Below are 19,842 nucleotides of genomic sequence, written 5' to 3' on the forward strand. Positions count from 1 at the left end.
GGGTTTTTTTAAGGAGTTATGTATCTCTCAAGCAGAAACCTGCTAGTTCATAAATTCTTAGCATCCCCAACCACTCTTGGCACGCTGCCTTGTATATTATTAGGCTCAACAGCAGTTAGTAATGATGAACACTCCTTAATTCGAAAGCGTTCACTGAATCTACCCCAACGATAGCTTCTCATTAGCTTCTCCACTCCAGCTGCTATTGGCCAAGCCCTGGATGCCCGAAGCACACAGGTTTAGGGCTTCTGGCCCTGACACGTAATAGGGAAAGGGGATTGTTTCAATCCAAATGATTATCTATAAAGTCACTCACAATGTAAGTAATAATATGCGAAATTTTAATTTGTGATGACTAAAAGCACTAAAGTGGTGACTCTTTGGGTAGAACGTAAAAACGAACGGTCCTCAACGGCCACAAGGCGCCCCTTCTAGGAGTGGTACCTCCCAGGATAACGGAAAACAGCCCCAGCCCCATCAGGAGCGAGCTTGGGGGCGGGCTTTAATCTCCCGGCCCACTGTTTGGCTATCTGCAGGGGCTGGCCTCCAATGATTGGTCGCTGCCGCGAGGGCCGCCGGGACTCGCACTCGGCGGTTGTTCCAGAAGAAAGAGACAGCGATGGCGGCAGAGGCTTCGAAGACTGGGCCTTCTAGGTCTTCCTACCAGCGAATGGGGAGGAAGAGTCAGCCCTGGGGTGCCGCTGAAATCCAGTGCACCAGGTGTGGAAGGAGGGTATCCAGATCATCCGGTGAGGAGCCCAAGGGCCCACCTAGCGGGGAGGCAGCCTGGAGGGAGCGCTGGGGGCCAGGTGAGCTGGTGGGCGCGTGAGGCTTGGTCAGCTGCATCCAATCCTGGTGTCACCAGAAACTGCGTCACAGGCCTCCCGCGAGCTGCACCCGACCTCTAAGAGGGCAGTGCTTGGGTTGGTTAAGGGCAGCACCTGCGCCTGTCACGGCTTTCTCCAATTACCCATCCAGGCCTCACCGACCCTCCAGCCGGGAGGATGGGGGCCCGGGTGGCTTTAATCTACTCCTCACAAGGCAGGTTAGCGGGTGCATGCAAAAGTAGACATAAAATGTAGCCCATTGTTTTGTCATCAAGAAGGAACGAAACTTGATTTTCTCCTGTAGTTTTTGTTGTAGGAGTAACAAGTAGACCATTGTGAAATGGTTTTGGATTTTGTTGTTGTTGTTAGCATTTTGTTGTTTCTGTGGGGGTTTTTTTGTTTGTTTTTTACATTATGGCTCACACTGGCCTAAAACACTGTTTGGAAAATGATAGTTTCTTTTGTGCACCTTGTGGGGTGTGTGTGTGTGTGTGTGTGTGTGTGTGTGTGTGTTGGTCTTTATACGTGAGGGGAAAAATACACTGCACTATTATTGGTCTGTTCACCTACAATCTACTCAAGTGATCACAGGTTCAAGTTATTTATTATTATTTTTTTCTTTGAGTTGGAGTCTCGCTCTGTAGCCCAGGCTGGAGTGCAGTGGCGCGATCTCGGCTCACTGCAAGCTCCGCCTCCCAGGTTCACGCCATTCTCCTGTCTCAGCCTCTGGAGTAGCTGGGACTACAGGCGCCCGCCACCACGCCCGGCTAATTTTTTGTATATTTAGTAGAGACAGGGTTTCACCGTGTTAGCCAGGATGGTCTCGATCTCCTGACCTCGTGATCCGCCCGTCTTGGCCTCCCAAAGTGCTGGGATTACAGGCGTGAGCCACCGCGCCCGGCCGGTTCAAGTTATTTTAATGTAACTTAAAATACCTTAGTGTGCTCTTAATACAGCTGAGTTGTTGAATCTCAATTCCTGGAGCTACTGAAAATTCGTATTACCTGGCGTAACTGTTTAATGTTTATACTTTCAAAGTTAAGGTCATTCGATCAGTTTTCTCAGTCTTGGCAAGATGGACTCTGTGAGATGTGAGCCTCTGCAGAAAAAGTTGTGATTTCAGTGGAGAACCAAGTTTCTCCTACTTGGGGTTTAGATCACTGCTACCGTTACGTAGAAAATTTCCATTTTTGAATGAAATTAAAATTACGGAATAAAGTTCTAGAACACAACCTTTTAAAATGAGTACTTCTTCCATACATTAGTATTATAATGCTTAGAAAAACTAAACTGGAGAAGTAGTGGTTATGTATATAGAATCCTGAAAGTGCTTTTTAAGCTGTAATTCACCACAAGTTATTTTGAGTTATTCAGTATCAGAAATTTTATAATAGTTAAGTGTTTTTATTTCTTTGGCAATATTATCCCTGGAAGTTAAATAGGGTTTTAAAATTTAGCATGGTTGTAAGCAAGTTTCAGGTATTTCAGTTGGATAGGAAACTTGTAAAGTTTTTAAAAAATACAATTAATGCAAGGCCGGGCACAGTGGCTCACGCCTATAGTCCCAGCACTTTGGGAGGCCGAGGTGGGCGGATCACTTGAGGTCGGGAGATCAAGACCAGCCTAGGCAACATGGTGAAATCCCATCTCTACTAAAAATACAAAAAAATTAGCTAGGCGTGCTGACGCACACCTGTAATCTCAGCTACTCCGGAGGCCGAGGCAGGAGAATAGCATGAACTCAGGAGGCAGAGTTGGCAGTGAACCGAGATCGTGGTCCGTCTCAGAATGAGTGAATGAATGGATGAATAAATAAATAAATAAAATTAATGCGATTATAATTCAGCAAGAACTCTATAATTATTTTGCTAGTAAAAGATGACTGATTTTTATCTAGTTTTTTTCCCTTTTCAGTTTTCTTGCAAAACTTTAAAAATGACAACCTTTTGAAATTATATAGCTAAAACAAATGTTATTTATTATAAACTTCAAATTCTTAGAGCATTTAATCATGATGTTAGGTTTTCAATCAAGTTACGATATTTCCTTTCATAAATGCTAAGTTTGTGAAAATGTGAGTTGTAGATATGTGATAATAGTAGCATCTGGCTTCTGGCCTTGCCAGTGTCTTAAATAATTCTAACAGCACGGTCTTGCCAGTGTCTCATTTTGGCCCTTCCTGACCTCTTCACAGGATGGGAAATATAAAGTAGTAGAGGGCAGTATGATCAATCAGAAAGAATGTTAGACTTGGAAACAGAGCTAGATAGGAGTCTGGATTATACCATTTAGTTAACCAAATCTCCAAAATGCTATTTCATCTCCAGCCCACTTAACTGTGATATTTACAAATAACAAATAAAATGTGTCAGAGCACTTTGTGTAAGATATGGCAGATTCAAAGTATTCTAGGTACAAAATAGCCATCTGAATTAATGCAAATGCTATTACATAGCTCTTCTTGGTTTTTCTTCTTGATTTTTCTCCCTCCTGACCTGAATAGTTGGTTACTCCTGATTTATATTCAATAAGTCAACCATTTCAAACTGTAGTAGGTATCTTTTCCTGTACAGTAGGATCCTCTTTGAATTTCCCTTGTATCAGTATTGCCCATTCAACATTAACACACTGTGGGCAGTTTAATCACAATAGAATTTCTTCAGTAAAATTAGCCGGGTGTGTTGGGACACACCTATAGTCCCAGCTACTTGGGAGGCTGAGGTAGGAGGATCACTTGAGCCCAAGAGGTGGAGGCTGCAGTGAGCTGGTGCCACTACACTCCAGCTTGGGCAACAGAGCAAGACCCTGTCTCAATAATCATCATCATCATCAAAATAATAATTAAGAATTTCATCAATAGGTCACCATTGTGAACTTCAATGTGGACATGCTTTTTGTGAACTATGCTTGTTAATGACTGAAGAATGCACCACAATTATATGCCCTGATTGTGAGGTAAGTGTTATAATTTTTCAGATGAAACATATCACAACCTAATGTTAATGGTAAAAATACTACAGTAGTAAAACGTACTTCTAGTTAGAAACTAAAAAGTTGGCCGGGCGTGGTGGCTGACGCCTGTAATCCCAGCACTTTTGGAGGCTGAGGCGGGCAGATCACGAGATCAAGAGATCAAGACCACCTTGGCCAACATGGGGAAACCCCGTCTCTACTAAAAATACAAAAATTTGCTGGACCTAGTGGTGCACACCTGTAGTCCCAGCTGCTCGGTAGCCTGAAGCAGGAGAATCGCTTGAACCTGGGAGGTGGAGGCTGCAGTGAGCCAAGATTGCACCACTGCACTCCAGTCTGGCGACAGAGCAAGACTCCATCTCAAAAAAAAAAAAAAAACCCTAAAATCTTGCATTTTTGCTGCTGAATCTTTAAGCAAAGAAACCTAACAAAAGATAAAACTTTTTCTATCCATTTTATAATTGTGTAAAGTGATCAGGAAAAATAAAAGGCGCTAAAGTCATACACTTATCGGCCTACATATTTTGATTCTTTGGTGACTTCTGTGGAAAATTATGTCTTTTGTTTATTTTAATGGTGTATATTCCTTTAAAAACCCTAGCCCCTGTTTTACCCACCAATCCATGCAACCACATTTTGAACTCCCCCCCTGCCCCTCAACCTTTGTGTGTCATCAAATGTACATTTGGGAGATGCCATTCTACAACAAGGTAGAGAAGCAAAACTACTGCCTAAAATTTTTACTTCAGAAGCCATTAAGACTGAAATCTTTCCATAAGAATGAGAACAAATTAAGGATGTAAAATAAAATTTACTTGATATCCTATTCATTTAATACAAATATAAGTGTAGTTCAGCTTATATAATATTGTTCCTGGAAAGTTGACTCAAGCTGTAAATTCCTTTTTTTTTTTTTTTGAGACGGAGTCTCACTGTGTCCCCCAGGCTGGAGTGCAGTGACTCAATCTCAGCTCACTGCAACCTCCGCCTCCCAGGTCCAAGTGATTTTCCTGCCTCAGCCTCCCAAGTAGCTGGGACTGTAGGTCTGTGCCACCACGCCCGACTAATTTTTTGTATTTTTAATAGAGAGGGGGTTTCACCATATTAGCCAGGATGGTCTCGATCTCCTCACCTCGTGATCCGCCCACCTCGGCCTCCCAAAGTGCTGGGATTACAGGCATGAGCCACCGCGCCTGGCCAAGCTGTAAATTCTTGATGTTTTACTGGATAAATCAGATGATAAGGCTTTGTATCATTTGTTTTCTGTGGAAGTGTGGCAAACCCTATGGAGGCATGAGATCTAGAATGCAGTTCTCATTCTGTCAGTCTAGCCTGGGTTTCCTCATTTGTGAGATGGATATAATACCTGCTTTGTCTTATCTCCTAGGATTGCTAAGAATCAAATCTGAATTATGTAACAGTTCTCCGTAAGCTTCCAGACTACTAAAATAACCCTTCATTATTTAGGTTTGAATGAACTGCCTTGCAAGTTAAATATGGTTAAAAAAAACCCAAACCATATATTGTAATTAATGAAAGTTTAAATTATAACAAAAAATTACATATTAGTAGCTGCCTATTTTGTGGGAAATTCCTAACCTCTTCCCTTTTTTTTTTTTTTTTTTGACATGGAGCTCCTTAGACGTGGCTGGCTATGTGGGTAAGACGAAGTGAGCCCTCCTCATGTGGTTGTGGTAGTAGATCCCTGATGGATTCAGTCTTGTGGGTGAAGATTAAGTGAAGGGAAAGGAAAGGAGCAGGCAGCTGGAACTGTCTGTGTCCATATCCGTCCTGTTCTAATATTAAAAAAAAAAAAGACTTGGCAAATGATTTCACATTTAATGTTCTTAAATCATTATACTTGTACTATTTTTGGGATTTTGGATAATGTGTAGGAGTGTTTATAATGTGTTTACAAATACTAATTTTGATTTTAAGGTTGTGATAAATCTATTTTGTATCATTGACTAGTTTTGCTCTAACTTTTAGAGATAAGTGACCTGTCCCATCCTCCGTTCCTATTCCCCCATCCCCACACCCACCTACTGTTAGCCGAGGTAATTGACAAGTGACTATATTCACATTCTTCAGACGCACTGGTGAGCTGGGCCCTATTAAAGGAAGTCATTCAAGAAACCTTCCTGAAATTGTTATCACTCTTTTTAAACTTTAGATTTGTATTATTACCTAATATTTATTTGGAATAAGATATACAGAGAATGGAAGAATCTAGTTTAAATTTAGTGAAGTCTGAATTTATGGAATATTTGAGGAATGTAGTTTATTACATTTCAACAAGGTATCTACTCTAAAAAGTAAGATTTAGATTCCTGTATTCACGTTAGACTTATAATTTATCTTTAACTTCAGAGGCCTAGGTAATGCTGTTTACTTCAAATGTAAGCCTAAAATCCATTCAAGATTAATAGGTATCCTTTTGTTCTTATTTCTGAGTTTGGGTGAATGTGCATTTATTTGACAGTCTTTATTTTTGATAGTTGAATGGTTTTTGATAACATCCCTGCTCTGCTATTGATTGATGTTAATGGTTAATCTTTCTGTAATTTTGCACAGCAAAATGACAGATTTTATTCAACGATAGGATTATACCTAGGTGCTATATTAGAAATACTGGCATTTTATTAACTTTTGGACCTGAGTCTAAAATACATTGGGCCATGAAGAAAGGATAAATCATCCAATCAATAGATAATTCATATATACTAAAATCCCATGATTGGAAATATTAATATATAAAAATTAGAAATGTAAACTAGACAGAAATACAGATAATTGTATAATCTTGGATAGGAAAGCATTGATAAGCATATCAAATAGAAATCAGAAACTACAGAATAAATGCTTGTTAAATTTGACCACAGTTTTTCATTTACAAGCAACAAAAGCAGGCAAAACACCATCATAAATAAAATTTAAATGACAAGCTATAGGGGGTAAAAGAAAACCTTTATTATATATGTTACAAGTTAAGAGTCTTTCTGCAGTTTTTACTTAAAATCTTTTAAATTAGTTGTATTTAATACTTTCTTAAACTATCTGGAAGAAATGTCCTGCATCAAATCTGCTGATAATAGCATTAACCTCTTATGAAATGCTAAGCCAAAGTGTGATGAACTAGGAGGTATATAGAAATAAAGTTTTTAAACCCCAATTTTGGGGAAAAGGGACTTAAAATACCATTCAGCTCAGTGAGATTTGTTAAAAGTAACCTAACTAAACTAATAATACATGGCTACAAGTACATGGTTTTAAGTACATAATACTTGAAACCTTGAAAGAACATTCTCTTCCCCACCAAAGATGTATATTTCACAAAAATGGGAGACTATAACAATTAGTAATCTGCTTTGTTTCTTTTAGCAACCTTCATCTATTCTCATGAAAATAAGCACTATAATTTTCTTAACTAATTTCTTTATTGATAAACATTTAGTTTTAAAATTTTTTTCACTATAATTGTGTACAATTCCTCAACCTCACCTCCATCAGTAGGTTCTGTAATTTCTAACTCCAAAAGAAATTCATATTTTGAGCTTGTTATATTTGTTTTAGTGTTTTGGCAATTTGATGTAAAAAATGGCTGTTTCCTTGTTGTAAATTGTAATTCCCTCATGATCAGTGAAGTTGAGCAACTTTTCATATGTTTGACTTATCAGTGCCTCTTCTGTGTGGATCTTTAACAGCTCTTTTCAGATCCTTTGGATCTTTTCCTTTTGAATTGTCTTTTTCCTAACTTGTTGTTTGTTGTTGTTTGCTTTTTCTGGAGACAGGGTCTTGCTCTGTTCCCCCAGACTGGAGTGCAGTGATGTGATCACAGCTCACTGCAACCTCAGCCTCTCCAGCTGAAGCAATCCTCCTACCTCATCCAGTCCAGTAGTAGCTGGGACTAAAGGGGAGTACCACTGCACACAGATAATCTTTTTTTTTTTTTTTTTTTTTTTTTTTGGAAGAGGTGAATCCTTGCTATGTGGCTAGGCTAGGTCCTTGCTATGTTGCCCAGGCTGGTCACGCCTTAGCCTTCCAAAGTGCTGAGATTACAGGTGTTAGCCACTGTATCCAGCCTGTCTTTTTTCCTAAGTTGTAAGAGTACTTTATGTGATAGCAATATTAACATTTCATCCTGTGTAACTGTTTTCTCCCAGCCTCTCACTTTTGATTTTATTGCATTTAGCCATTCAGAAGTGTTTCTTAACTAGTCATTTTTACCCCTGCTTCATGAATTCTAGGTAGGGCTTTTTTTTTTTTTTCTGACTAGGCAGACCTTCCTAACTCAAAGTTATATATATATATCTTCAATACTTACGTTTTTTTAAAGAAGTATATGTTGGCTGAGCTCACGCCTGTAATCCCAGCACTTTGGGAGGCTGAGGTGGGTGGATCACATGAGGTCGGGAGTCGAGACCAGTCTGACCAACATGGAGAAACCCAATCTCTACTAAAAATACCAAATTAGCCAGGCATGGTGGCGCATGCCTGTAATCCCAGATACTCGGGAGGCTGAGGCAGAAGAATCACTTGAACCCAGGAGGCGGAGGTTGCAGTGAGCCGAGATCGCACTATTGCACTCCAGCCTGGGCAACAAGAGCGAAACTCCATCTGAAGACAAAAAAGTGGGGGCGGTATATGTTTAATTATTTTATGTGTTATGTGATGTAAGGTGCAGGTATACCTTTATTCTTAAGAATGATTGGCTGATTTTGTCATACCTTTTATTGAGTAATCCTTCCATTTAATTGAAATCCCACTTGTATTCTATATTAAGTTCTCATAGAGAGTTGGGTCTGTTTCAAGGCTTTGTTCTACTGATTTATTATGCTAGCACATAGTGTTTTAATTATTACAGTAGTGTTATAATAGTCTTATTAATTGGTGGAATAAATTTATGCTGAATTCGATGTTAAAGTTTTTGCAGTTCTTATACAATATATTTTTCCATACGTATTTTAGAATTGTATTAATTTCATATTAGATGATGTTAGGACATTCAGTCTTTCTCTCCAGGAACCTGGTTTGAGTCTCCATTTTTTTTTTTTTTTTTTTTTGTTCTTGTTTTATGACCTCTAGCCAGGTGCGATTTTTTAAAAAGTTTTCTTTACTTACAGCTTATAGTTTTCTTGTTAAATTTTCCTAAATAACTTCAATCAGCAGGAAAAGAAACAGATAACTCCATTAAAAAGTGGGCAAAGGACATGAACAGACACTTCTTTTTTTTTTTTTCTTTTGAGACAAGAGTTTCGCTCTGTCACCCAGGCTAGAGTGCAGTGGCGCCATCTCAGCTCACTGCAAGCTCCTCCTCCCAGGTTCACGCCATTCTCCTGCCTCAGCCTCTCGAGCAGCTGGGACTACAGGCGTCCACCACCACGCCCAGCTAATTTTTTGTATTTTTAGTAGAGACGGGGTTTCACCATGTTAGGCAGGATGGTCTTGATCTCCTGACCTCATGATCCGCCCGCCTCAGCCTCCCAAAAGTGCTGGGATTACAGGCGTGAGCCACCGCCCCTGGTCGTGAACAGACACTTCTTAAAAGACATACAACCAGCCAATAAACATGAAAAAATGCTCACATCACTTACCAGAGAAATGCAAATCAAAACCCACAATGAGATACCATCTCACATCAGAATGTCTATTATTAAAAAGTCAAAAACTAACAGATGTTGTCAAGGTTGTGGAGAAAAGAGAATGCTTATAGACTGTTGGTGGAAATGCAAATTAGGCCCTGTGGAAAGCAGTTTGGCGATTTCTGAAAGAACTAATAATAGAACAACCATTTGACTCAGCACTTCCATTACTGGGTATATACCCAAAGGAAAATAAATTATTCTGCCAAAAAGATACCTGTACTCATATGGTTATCACAGTATCATTCACAATAGCAAATACATGGAATCAACCTATGCGTCCCATCATTGGTGGGTTGAATAAAGAAAATGTTGTACGTATACACCACAGAATACTATGCAGCCATTAAAAAGAATGAAATAATGTTGTTTGCAGCAACATGGATGCAGCTGAAGGCCATTATCCTAAGCAAATTAATGCAGAAACAGAAAACCAAGTACCACATTTTCACTTCAAGTGGGAGCTAAACATTGGCCACACGTGGACATAAACGTGGAAACAGTAGACACTGGGGACTGCTAGAGAGAGGAGGGGAGGCAAGGGCAGAAGAACTTTCTGTTGGGTTCTGTGCTCACTGTTTGGGTCATGGGATCAACAGAAGCCCAGACCTCAGCATCATGCCCTACACCCTTGCCACAAACCTGTACACGTACCCCTTGAATCTAAAATTTTAAAGAAAAAGATAATTTCAGTTTCACATCCTGGCTTATCCTTTAATTGACTGAGTGAAGTTAGAGGACATACTTCAGCTTTACTTCAGTTTCCTTTTCTTTCTTTTTTGTATTGTATTGTGAGGTTTCAATGAGATAGTTTGCCAAGTTTGTAGGACCTAGGCACCCAGAGAATGATGTTGCATTTCCTTCTGCCTTCTTCATTTTTCTTTCAGGTATCAGTTCATGATCTGAGTGGCTTTTAAAATATGTGGAAAAAAATCAGAGACCGCAGGGCCTCAAATAAATGAACATAAGAAAACTGTTCTCAGAAAAAAGTCAACCATCAACTATCCAACTTTCTTCTATTTCTAACTGCATTTTACTTGAACACTGTCTCGAGCAGGGATTTTTCTTCATCTAGTGTCTGTGGGCCACAGTGGACTTTAGGAATTCTATTGAACCACATGATTTTAAAAAGTTTTAAATTAAATATTTTAGAGTTTTGAACATATGTTACTATTTTTTTTTTCACTTTTTTTGAAATAGAGTCTGGCTCTTTCACCCAGGCTGGAGTGCAGTGATGCAATCTTGGCTCACTGCAACCTCCACGCTCTGCCTCGCCAGGTTCAAGCAATTCTCCTGCCTCAGCCTCCCTAGTAGCTGGGATTACAGGCGCCTGCCACCATGCCTGGCTAATTTTTGTATTTTTAGTAGAGATGGGGTTTTGCCATGTTGGCCAGGCTGGTGTTGAACTCCTGACCTCAGGTGATCCACTCGCCTTGGCCTCCCAAAGTGCTAGGATTACGGGCGTGAGCCCTCATTCCTGGCCTAACATTTTTAAAGTAAAATTGAAAGTATTGCTAGTATTTCCTTTACAGTTATGGTAGAATGAAGTGTTTTGGTTAATTAACTAAAAATTAATTAATAGTTGCCAAATTCGTGATTGCTTCCAAAAATTAAAGTGGGTCAAAAACTCATATAAGCACGGTTTTCTCCTTGATTTACAGGGGATTTCAGGATCTTTAAGGTTATCATTAACTTTATGAATAGCACACTTAAATAGTTGTTTAGGTTCTGGATAGGCATAATTTATTGGGTGACTTTGTTTTTTTAAACCTTATTTTGTCCTAAGGTTGCTACAGCTGTAAATACTAGACAACGCTACTACCCAATGGCTGGATATATTAAGGAAGACTCCATAATGGAAAAACTGCAGCCTAAGACGTATGTTCCATGTGTACTTATTTGAGTATTTAAAGTCAATGTGTTACTGAAATAGTTTTAGAATTATTGATAAAATGTCATCCTTAAGTCTGCATTTCTAACCTACTGTTTATGGAATGCTCTTTAAGTTCATACTTCATCTTAGCTGTCAGTGGAATGGAGACTTCAGCTCTTTAAAGAAGCAGCGTTTGTTTGTCCTTATTTAAAGAAAGAAAAAATGTTAAGGATTACCACATCAAGAAAGGCTGAGAGTACACTGGCTAAAGTTACTCGTGCTGGATGGAAGGAAGTTATAGAGAAAAAAAGTAACTTAGTTCTCTCTTGATTCTTTTTAAAAATTTTTAAAATTCTAAGTTTTTTTAAAGACAGGGTCTCACTCTGTCACCCAGGCTTGAGTGCAGTGGTTTTGATCATGGCTCACTGCCGCCTCAGACTCCTGGTCTCAAGCTAGCCTCTCACCTCAGCCTTTGGAGTATCTAGGACTACAGGCATGCACCACCATGCACAGCTAATTTTTAAATTTTTTTGTAGGCATGGAGTCTCATTGTGTTGCCCAAGCTGGTCTCAAACTCCTGGCTTTAAGTGATCCTTCTGCCTCAGCCTCTCAAAGTGCTGGAATTACAGCCGTGAGCCACTGCACCCAGCTTCTCTTGATTCTTAAAAGTAGTGCAAGTATAGTACAATGGAAGACTTTGTGAAGAGTTGGTTTGAGAAGTGATTTATAAAAGGAAAAATAATACCTTTGGGGTTCTTTTATTCATTTTTCCATTGTTGTATAAGACTTTATACATGTATGCATTAATAGATTCTCTTTTTGAATTAGTAATATCTTTTTAAATACACCCAGCCAGAGATGAGTATCTATGTTACTGACTATTTCACTTAATTACTAATGCTTCTGTATGTCTTTTCCTGCTAGTCTGTAAGCCCCTTTAAGGGAATGGACCACATTTTATTCCCCTTTATATCTCTGGTTTGGGACACAGAGTAAACATGTAATGTTTATTACAGTACATGTTTGATTTTTGCAGCTTTTTAAGTGTTAAAGGATCTTCTGATCAATTTCCTGGAACTGTACTCAGATGGTAATTTGTATATAACTAAACTTTCTAAGCATATTTAATATGGTAAGTAGACTATGCAAGAAATAAAAAATAGGATTCTTTCAAGGAAAAATCTCATGTGGAACTTTCCAATTTTGTTAATGGCACCAAGTATTTATAAATCACTCTAGTTCCTTCTATTACATTCATTTTACCTCCTGCAGATTCTGACTTCTATAGTATCTCCTATGTCCATAACCTATCTTCATTTCTACTGCCTTATTTAATTCTCATGTTATTTTGTGTAGCTCCTTGTCAGACTCTTCCTTAATGCTATAGTTGTTCATTAAGTATTCAATTAAAACTCAAAATTATTCAGTGTAGAATTCCTGGCACTTCACATTACCACCGTAGCTTCTCTTTGCAGACCTAAATGAGTACTTATAAAAAAACAAAAGAATGGTTTTAGCCATTTGCTTGGGTAGTAAAACCACTTAGCTAAAGTCTGACAGCTGGTTATTCACAGAACCAGAATGTAAACCTAGGTTTATTGAATACCAGTACTGCTCCCAACTCCTATACCACTGGTCACTTCCTCCATGAGATATGTGTAGAGTTATTAGGATAGATCTTTTAGAATCATTCTGGCTCATCGTGAGTCCCCATGGAGTAGCCATTTTTATCAAATTTAGGGCTCCCAAATTTGAACACCTACACGAATTAAGCAGTTAACTTACTGGGTGAGGTCGACTGAGTTTAAACAATGAGTGGTGAGGTTTGCGGTAGATGACGAGGGCTCACCCCCTCTGAAGGAGGCAGTTCCTACTCAGCTGTAGCCAGTTATTAGTATGTATTAAGACAAACCCAATGTTGCCACATCTTTTTTTTCTCAAGACAAACTCGAGATCTGTACTTGTGTGTGAAATTTTCTGACACATGATGCCAGTCAAACCAGGATGTACTCTTATCTATATATGTATAATGTCTGTTAGAGTTGCAAAGTGAAATTTTACTTTCAGAGGTATATGAATCCATCCTAACCAGAAAGTACCCAAATTTGTTCCAAATAACCATTTTAAAAATTAAATTTATGTCAATTATATCTATTTTAGAAACTGCTATTCTCTAAGGTACAGTTTGGTTTTAAAATGGTTGTATATTTTTAAATTATAGTAATCCTTGACTCATTTACTGATTTGTCTTTAATATTTTGAAACAGGAATTCAGTAATGGAATCCTCAGGGCTAATGCACTCATGTTTTTAAGAACATGAATATTCACTTTTCAAAGAATAGAATGTTTAAAAATTATTTGGTGTAGTATTTTTTCTCTGTAACATTTAAACATCATATTTTCCCCATAAGCTGTAAGCTGATGATTAACTCAGCAAACACTAGTTACTGTGTGCTAGCCAATATGGTGATACAAAGATAAAAATAGCTGGGCATGATGGCTCATGCCTTTAATTCCAGCACTTTGGGTGGCTGAGGTGGGAGGATCACTTGAGTCCAGGAGTTCGAGACCAGCCTGGGCAACACAGTGAGACCCCATCTCTAAAACAGATAATAAATAAAACTCTGGCTTCTATAGACTAGAGAATGCAACTAACTTTTTCTTTGCAATTAACTTGCTTAGTTAAATTCATTACCTTTTTTTAATTCTCCAGACTTGTTAAGTACCTTCTTTTTAATAGCTGGCATTTGTATATATAAACACTTACTTAATTGGTGAGCTTATCACATTTCATTGATTATCAACATCTGTACCAAAAAATACCACGTAAGGACCAGTAATTAAGAAATTAAAACACAATATATAAGCCATTATTTTTGGAATTTTTTAAAATTAAAATTTGTATGAAAGCATATTTCCTCATGGTTTCTCTCTTCCCACTTATGGTTAATTGGTAATTCACTGTACATGTTCTTATAAGTCATTATATGAATTATTTTTTATGGTAAAATCTGAATAGAAGATTAAAACCATTACATTGATTGATGAGGTAATATTGGTATTTAAAATAATGTACGTGGGCCAGGCACAGTGGCTCACACCTATAATCCCAGCACTTTGGGGGGCCGAGGTGGGTAGATCACTTGAGCTTAGGATTTTGAGACCAGCCTGGACAGCATTTTGAAATCTCATCTCTACAAAAAATACAAAAATTAGCCGAGTGTGGTGGCACATGCCTATGGTCCCAGCTACTTGGGAGACTGAGGTGGGATGATCGCTGGAGCCTGGGAAGTCGAGGCTGCCATGAGCCATGATGGTGCCACTGCACTCTGGCCTGGGTGACAGAGAAAGATCCTGTCACAAAAAATAAAATAATATACTTGATACTTTTCAGGATAAAGAATTGTTCTCAGGACTTTAAGAAGACTGCTGATCAGCTAACTACTGGTTTAGAACGTTCAGCCTCCACAGACAAGACTCTTTTGAACTCATCAGCTGTAATGTTGGTATGAAACATATTGGTCATGAAGTACGATGAAGGCAAACGTTTGACTTTGTCTCTAGTAGCTCAACTTTCTTCTCCTATAATTATAGATTCTTTTGGAAGTTTATACGTAACAAGTTAACCCACCCTCTTACTTGAATCTCTTTTGTTCTATGCTTAGACAGTTCTCTTTTCTTCCAAGGCAGCCTGTTCTACCTTTGACTGACTCTGTTTCAAAGTTCTTGATATTTACCTGTGTGTAGCTTCTTCCCTTTGAAACTAGTTATTGAATCCAGGTTCTGTGAAACATGTAAAGCATGAGTTTTTAAATTTTAAATGTGATTTTTCACTTATTTTAATGGCAACCAAAAGGCCTAATTATGTTTGTTGTTGTTAATGTTATTGCTGAAGATAGAGTTTTACCTTTTATCTACTCCTGATAACTTTAAATAATGTATTAAGATTAGAAATAGAACAAACTCCAAAATGATATTAAGTTTTTGTGTTAAGATCATTAATGGAGGCCACGTGCAGTGGCTCCTGCCTATAATCCCAGCACTTTGGGAGACCAAGATGGGTAGATCACTTGAGGCCAGGAATTCAAGACCAGCCTGGCCAACATGGCGAAACCCCATCTCTACTAAAAGTACAAAAATTAGCTGGGTGTGGTGCTGTGGTCGTGCACACCTGTAATTCCAGTTACTCGCAAGGCTGAGGCATGAGAATCTCTTAAACCTGGGAGGCAGAAGTTGCAGTGAGCAGAGATAGCATCACTGCACTCCAGCCTGTGCAACAGTGAGACTCTGTCTCAAAAAAAAAATAAAAAGAAAAAAAAATCATTAATGGGCTGGGGAAGGGGAGAAAGCACTTAATCTTGCTGACTTTTCCTTCAAGTGTAAATCTTAATGGAGTCAAATTATAATCTTTTTTTCCTTAAGAACTGTTTATAATTTTTATATGTATACATGTATTGCCATGATAAATTGTTCAAGGTAGTTTTAAGTTGAAAAGGTAATTACAGGGCATTATCCCATTTAAAAAAATATCTTTATGAAAAAAATCTGGAATGGTCTAACTAAAGCTCTAAAATATGAATGGTTTTTATCTCCAGGTTAGCAGGATTGAATGTTATTTTTGTTGCTTGTTTTCACTTTTCTGTAGTGAGTCTATGTTGCTTTTGTAACCAAAACGGTAGCCTGAATTTTTTGCAACTATAATATATATATGTCTAGGCATCTGTTTTTTAGTTTTATATTTGTATGTGATTTCCCTCCCTTCTTAGGACACTAATACTGCAGAAGAAATTGATGAAGCATTGAATACAGCACACCATAGTTTCGAACAGTTAAGCATTGCTGGAAAAGTAAGCACTTTGCAGGATTAAATTCTATCATGAAGTGAAGCATGTCCTCTTTAAGTGTGTACATTTGGAGATGTTACCACTGAGGTTAGAGCTTAGCACTGAGTTATTAAGCATGATAATCTAAAAAAGAATGGAAAACTTTTCCCATAGCCTGCCAAGATTGGTCTTGTAACATTGTTGTGCTAGGAACTTAATAAAATTCCAGCTTTAATAAGGAACCATGACTTCTCCTTGCTATGAGCTGAATTTTGTCTCAGAAGCATTGCAGATTATCTTTTCAACATTTGCTGATTGTTTGGCTGTATCCCCCTTAGTGAGTCTCTTTCTCTCTTCCTACTCCACCTTCCAAAAGAGACTCTCTCATTTGGTGACACAAAACAAGTTCTTCAGCACCTAGCAACAAAATTTACAATTAAGGAGTTCAAAAGGTTATAGCTGATTATGTTGTGGCTGCTTTTTTGCATAGAAGGACATGACATTTTTGATTGGCTAAGGGTCACTATCAAAAGTCATTTCTCAAGAGGAATGAGAAATACGATAAAAGTAATAGAAGAGTTATGAGAGAAAAAAACAACATTGAGAGAAAAGGGGAAAAAATAATGTCACCTGTGATAAGCAATACTTAGTACCAGATATAGTGGAGAAGAGCAAATCAGTGGTAAATTAACTGGAGGTTAGGACTTCAGTATCTGAATTTGGGATAGTGGGGACACAATCCAACTAAAAACAGAGTGTTCTCTAGCCCTCAGTATTCATGTCCTTCTCCATGCAAGATACATTCACCCCATCCTGACACCCCCAAAAGTTTAACCCATTCCAGCATCAATTGTAAATATAAAAATCTCACCTTCTGGGCAGGCTCACTTGGTCATGCCTGTGATCCCAGCACTTTGGGAGGCCAGGGCAGGTGGATCACTTGAGGTCAGGAGTTCAAAACCAGCCTTGTCAACATGGCTAAACCCCATCTCTATTAAAAATTCAAAAGTTAGCCGGGCATGGTGGCACCCACCTGTAGTTCCAGTTGCTGGGGAGGCTGAGGCATGAGAATCGCTTGAACCCGGGAGACGGAGGTTGCAGTGAGCCAAGATCGTGCCACTGTACTTCAGCCTGGTTGATGGAGTAAAACTCCGTTTCCAAAAAAAAAAATTAAAAATTAATAAAAATTAAAATCTCACCTTCTAAGTTAGGTATGGGTGAAGACTCGATATACGATTCATCCTAGGGCAAAATTCATTTCCACTATGAGCCTGTGAAACGAGACAAGAACTTAGTTGCTTCTAAAATACATTGGTGAAACAGGAATAAGATAGACATTCCACATTCCCATTCTAAATTGGAAGAATCAGAAGGAAAGAAGGGGTCATGGATCTAAGCAACAATACTTAAAACTTCAAAAATACTAAGATTGTGTAATACTTAACATTTTAATTCAAGTATGGTTTCTACGGTTTTTTTTTTAATCCACGGGGTCCTATCAAAGAGAAATTCAGCTACTTAAAATGACTTGTTTCCTGTAATGATGAAAAGAAAAAAATTTAGTACACTCATCAGTGGATTTTTTTTAGGTCTTGTTGCCACATTATCAGTAGAAAATGCCAGTAAGGCCAGGTGTGGTGGCTCACACCTGTAATCCCAGTGCTTTGGGAGGCCAAGGCAGGAGGATCACTTGAGGCTAGGAGTTTGAGACCAGCCGGGGCAACATAATGAGACTTTGTTCCTCCCCACCACCAAAAAAAAAATTAGTTGGACATGGGGCTACGTGCCTGTGGTCATTGCTACTCAGGAGGCCAAGGCAGGAGGATCCCTTGAGCCCAGGAGTTCAAGGTTACAGTGAGCTATGCTCAGCCTACTGCACTCCAGCCTGGGTAACCAAGTGAGACCTGGTCTCAGTAAAACAAACAAAAAGATATGGTCTTGCTCACAAATAGTAAAACTTAATGTTGAACCTTGTGACTTATTCTATTTATATTATTATCTCTTTACCTCTTGTGTTATTTTGAAGAGTCTAGAAAGTACCTTTTACTTTCAAAATTCTACAACTTCTACAAAATAAAAATTCCCAAATTAAGTTTTTGTCTTGTTTTTTTTTTTTCCAGGCACTTGAACACATGCAGAAGCAAACGATAGAGGAAAGAGAAAGAGTTATAGAAGTTGTGGAGAAACAGTTTGACCAACTTTTGGCTTTTTTTGATTCCAGGTTAGTAACTTAAAAATATGGACTCAATGAAACTGAAGTTTCTAACACTAACTTGTCATTGTATTCCTTTGTTTAGAATGGTAATGGGTAACTTTTAAACAAGTTTGTAATGGGTAACTTTCAAACAAGTTTGGAAGTTGGTAGTCCCTACAGACTGATCTTTAGAACTGCAAAATGAAAAATAATGTGTAAGCTTTTAAAAATTTTGCCTATTTACCTTCTGGTGCTGAAGCTAATGGTGGTTTGTTTGAGACAGGGTCTTGCTCTGTTGCCCAGGCTGGGGTGCAATGGTGTGATAATAGCTCACTGCAGCCTCAAACTCCTGGGCTTAAGTGATCCTGCCACCTCAGCCTTCAAAGTAGCTGGAACTACAAGCCCACACCACTACATCCAGCTAATTTTGTGTTTTTTTTTTGTTGTTGTTGTTTTGTTTTCCGAGACAAGGGTCTCACTACATTGTCCATGCTTTTCCCAAACTCCTGGCCTCAAGAAATCATCCTGCCTCAGCCTCCTAAAGTGCTGGGATTACAGGTGTACATAACGGTGCCCAGCTGAAGCTGTTAACTGTTAAAGTAAACAAGCTTGAGCCAGGTGTGGTGGCTTACACCTGTAGGATTACATGGTGATCATCCTGTCTAAGCTCACTTTGGGAGGCTGAGATGGGGGGGGGATCTTTGAGCTCAGGAGTTTGAGACCAGTCTGGGCAACACAGCGAGACTCCATCTGTACAAAACAAAAAAAAATCAACCAGGCATTGTGTGCATTTCTGTAGTCCCAGCTGCATGGGAAGCTGAGGTGGGAGGATTGCTTGAGCCCAATTGTTGCTATTGGGTTATAGCAATTCTTTGTATATTTTGAATATGAAATTTTTGTCTATATGACTTACAATATTTTCTCCCATTTGTAAGTTGTCTTTTCACTCTCTCGATAATGTCCTTTGATCCACAAAAGTTTTTAATTTTATGAAGTCCAGTTTATTGTTTCTTTTGTTTCTTGTGCTTTTGGTGTCATATTCAAGATATCACTGCCAAATCTAACATCATGATGCCTTTTCCCTGTGTTTTCTTTTAAGAGTTTTATAGTTCTCACATTTAGATCTTTGATCCATCTTTAGTTAATTTTTGTGTATGGCATAAGGTAAGGATCCAACTTCATCCTTTTGAGTTGGATATCCAGTTTTCCCAGCACTATTTGTTGAAAAGATTGTCCTTTCCCCCACTGAATGTTCTTGGCACCCTTGTCAAAAATGAGCTCACCATATATGTGAAGGATTATTTCTGGGATTTCTGTTTTATTCCGTTGTTCTGTATGTCTTTCCTTATGCTAGTACCATGCTGTTTTGACTACTGTTGTTTTGTAGTAAGTTTTAAAATCAGAATGTGTGAGTCCTACAACTTTGTTCCTTTTCAAGATTGTTTCTCAGGGTCTCTTAAGATTTCATAGGACTTTTAAGATGGACTTTTCAATTTTCACAAAACAATG

The 19,842-nt window shown here is 38.5% G+C and overlaps 1 protein-coding gene across 15 annotated transcripts in view; it reads left to right on the forward strand.

Moving 5' to 3' along the window:
* The window catches only part of RNF17 (ring finger protein 17), a 140,815-nt gene that overhangs the window by 15,818 nt on the left and 105,155 nt on the right, over window positions 1-19,842 (forward strand). For 8 of the 15 annotated variants that reach the window (XM_011535156.3, XM_011535152.3, XM_011535158.3 and 5 more), the window contains 6 exons: window positions 537-720; window positions 3,688-3,782; window positions 11,229-11,320; window positions 14,711-14,822; window positions 16,083-16,163; window positions 18,260-18,360. In XM_011535156.3, the coding sequence (XP_011533458.1) occupies window positions 537-720; window positions 3,688-3,782; window positions 11,229-11,320; window positions 14,711-14,822; window positions 16,083-16,163; window positions 18,260-18,360 (665 nt within the window). Of the gene's footprint in view, window positions 1-536; window positions 810-913; window positions 1,046-3,687; window positions 3,783-11,228; window positions 11,321-14,710; window positions 14,823-16,082; window positions 16,248-18,259; window positions 18,361-19,842 lie in introns of those variants that run through there. The other 7 variants (XM_006719849.3, NM_031277.3, NM_001184993.2 and 4 more) reach the window with 5 other exon arrangements.

The sequence above is a fragment of the Homo sapiens genome, chromosome 13 (genome assembly GCF_000001405.40).
Source record: "Homo sapiens chromosome 13, GRCh38.p14 Primary Assembly".
Lineage (NCBI taxonomy): Eukaryota > Metazoa > Chordata > Mammalia > Primates > Hominidae > Homo > Homo sapiens.